Raw genomic sequence first — 3,020 nt, forward strand, 5'->3', positions numbered from 1 at the left:
GACCAAAAAAATTTATATATTAAATACAAAGAAAAGCTATAAAATCAATAAAAGTCAAATTAACAACATTAATTTAATGTGATGGAAAAATCTGTTTTGCTAAAATCCAATCGACTGTCATGTTATGAATACTCTGTGCTATAGCTCAGGTTCTTGAGTTTGACCTACATATAAGTATTATATGTCCTGTGGTGACTATATAGCTGTGCAGGACAATTGTCATTTTGACATCAGGACAGGCCAGTATAAGGACATTCCCATACATTAGAAGAATTACAAGATTCTACTATATTTAAATGTCTTCTTTAATTTTATAAATAATCTTGGAATTTTTAAGAATTCCATTCAAAACAATGACTATATTGGTGGTTACTTATAACAGATTTTCCTATTGTGTACTATTATTATTACTATTAAATAAAAAATCTCTTGTTGAGAATTTATATGCCCTAGTTTGAGTTTCTTTTGTATCTAAATTTTTTCATGTATTTAATTATCGAAATAGAATGCAACAAATGCCAAATCGGAGACTTGTTAGAAACATCTGCATTTTTTTGCAACTCTATAGGAAACCTTACTCACTGCATAATTTATTGCATTTTTTTCCTTCAAACCTTCAGCAGTATTTTGTCTGTGTCTTCTCAACATCTTTGCTGATAGAGCAACACATTTGAGTTTATTTCCATATTGCTTTTCATGTTTTATTTCAGTCATTTTTACTATAAAGAGAAAAACAGCTATTTACTCCAATGGTATATGGCTTCTTGTTTTGTTTTTTGTTTTTTTTTGCCATTAAGTAAGAAAACTTAAAGTCAGCTTTCATATATACATAAATCACAAATATTACATATATACACATATATAAATCACATTATACATACACATATATAAATCATACATATTATATATACACACCTATATATTCATATTTTTATATATATACACATATATATCAACCATTAGAAAATTAGTATTGAAATAATTATAGACTCACAGGCATTTACAAAAATAGTCTAAAGACGTTCCAGGTACCTTTCACCCAGCTTCCCTCAGAGGTAACATCTAACATAACTCTAGTATAACGTAAAATATCAAAACTGGGAAATTGGCATCAGTACAACCTACAGGCCTTATTCCTTATGAAATGTTAGTAAAACTTTGTAAATACTGGCTTGAGTATAAATGACTTCTGTTACCAAGAAAACAAGTATAATGTGTCCCATGATCCAGGTGCGTAGTTAGTAAATGTTTTGGTGCCTATCAGGATGTTTTCATAGTATCCATGAGCTAATCCAGTGAGGGAAAACAGGCAGTTGGGACGAGGCTCTTCACGTATAATAATGTAAATCCATGTTTCAAATCCTTTTGAGGGAGGAGAATAGGGTCCGGAGGCAGGGAACCTAAGGCTGTTTCATGCTGACTTCCTAGAACTAAATTGAAAGGAAAAACCTAACTCTGCATTCCTAAGTAACAAAAAGATCAGGGGCTTTCAAGTCCATTTGACCTTTTCTGCGTTGCAGATGGGAAATTGGCTGTCCGCAAAAAATCATACTGAGTGCGGGTGGAGTCTTCGTTTGCAACTTTGTAACTTTACTCCAGCCTCTGAATGGTTGTTGTCCACAACCAATCAGACTGATTGACCACAGAGTCTTCATTTGCATATAAGTATAAATTTGTAACTTCACTTCAGCCTCTGGTTGGCTGCTTTCTGCAACCAATCAGACTGATTGCCGGCTACCACTTCATTTACATGAGGTGAGCATGAAGTGGCCAATGGAAAACTTCTTGGGGATATTTGGACCCAAGAAGATTCTGTATCTGGGCTCTTGAGCTGCTGCTGGGGTCCACTCCACACTGTGGAGTGTACTTTCATTTTCAATAAATCCCTGCTTTCGTTCCTGTGTTGCTTCATTCTTTCTTTGCTTTGCTGGGCGTTTTGTCCAATTCTTTGTTCCAAATGCCAAGAACCTGGACAGCTTGCAGTCATGAACCTCTACCAGTGACACTTTTATTGATAATTTTTGTTTCTAGGCCCTATTTTGTGCAAGCTGATTAGAATATGCTTTTTCAATTTGATATATGGCTGACAGTTTTTTTAGAAATAGAAAATGTGTCAGTTCTCTCCTTTTACTGTTTCATACAAGTACATGCATGATTAGTATTATCTTCAACCTAGTTTCTCTGCAGGAATCTTCTTTCTAATCACTTCATTTTTTAAGTATTTCACTACTATCAGATATTTATGTAGTAAATCTACGTAACTAGGTACATGTAAGTTACATAATCACTTAAGATAAAAGAATGACTGAGGCTTCAATTCCTCTTGCCCTCTCTTTATGTTCAGGAGCATTGTCTCTTCATTCAGGGTTAAATACTTCAAGTGACAGCTGACCTATGACTTCCTTGTGAATAGATATTTAGAAAACATGACTTGAAGTTTAAACACTCAACTGATCCTTGTATCCCCTATTAGAGATTATAAACTCCATTTAAAATAAACTGACCTACAGGATATAAATCCTTCTGGTTCCTTCCTTTCTAGACTCAGCTTTGAGTTTACATGTTCACAATACCAAACTACTGATAACTCACCACATACATCTTGATATTTCACAGATCCTCTCCTGTATAAATGCTTTTCCATCCATCTGGAGTTTTCTTTCTTCTTTTACTGATTGAGAGGTCTTCTCTTCCTTGAAAGCCCAGTTCAGGTGTCCTTTCTTCCATTAAGATTTTCTACACTTTGGGAAGCTGAGGTGGGTGGATCACTTGAGGTCAAGAGATTGAAACCATCCTGGCCAACATGATGAAATCCCATCTCTACTAAAAATACAAAAATTAGCTGGGTGTGGTGGCACACACCTGTAGTCCCAGCTACTCGGGAAGCTGAGGCAGGAGAATCGCTTGAACCCAGGAGGTGGAGGTTGCCGTGAGCTGAGATGGCTCCACTGCACTCCACCTTGGCGACAGGGCAAGTCTCCATCTCAAAAAAAAAAAAAAAGATTTTCCTCTTTCCTTCT

General features: G+C 35.4%; 1 annotated feature.

The window, feature by feature from the left end:
* Nucleotides 1,296-1,821: an enhancer, noted in NCBI's record as "OCT4-NANOG hESC enhancer chr15:46755908-46756433 (GRCh37/hg19 assembly coordinates)". NCBI's record gives its function as "activates a minimal SCP1, AML or CMV promoter by ChIP-STARR-seq in primed H9 embryonic stem cells {active_cell/tissue: H9 hESC(primed)}" and the evidence as "EXISTENCE:reporter gene assay evidence [ECO:0000049][PMID:30033119]".

This window comes from Homo sapiens, chromosome 15, assembly GCF_000001405.40.
Source record: "Homo sapiens chromosome 15, GRCh38.p14 Primary Assembly".
Classification (NCBI taxonomy): Eukaryota; Metazoa; Chordata; class Mammalia; order Primates; family Hominidae; genus Homo; species Homo sapiens.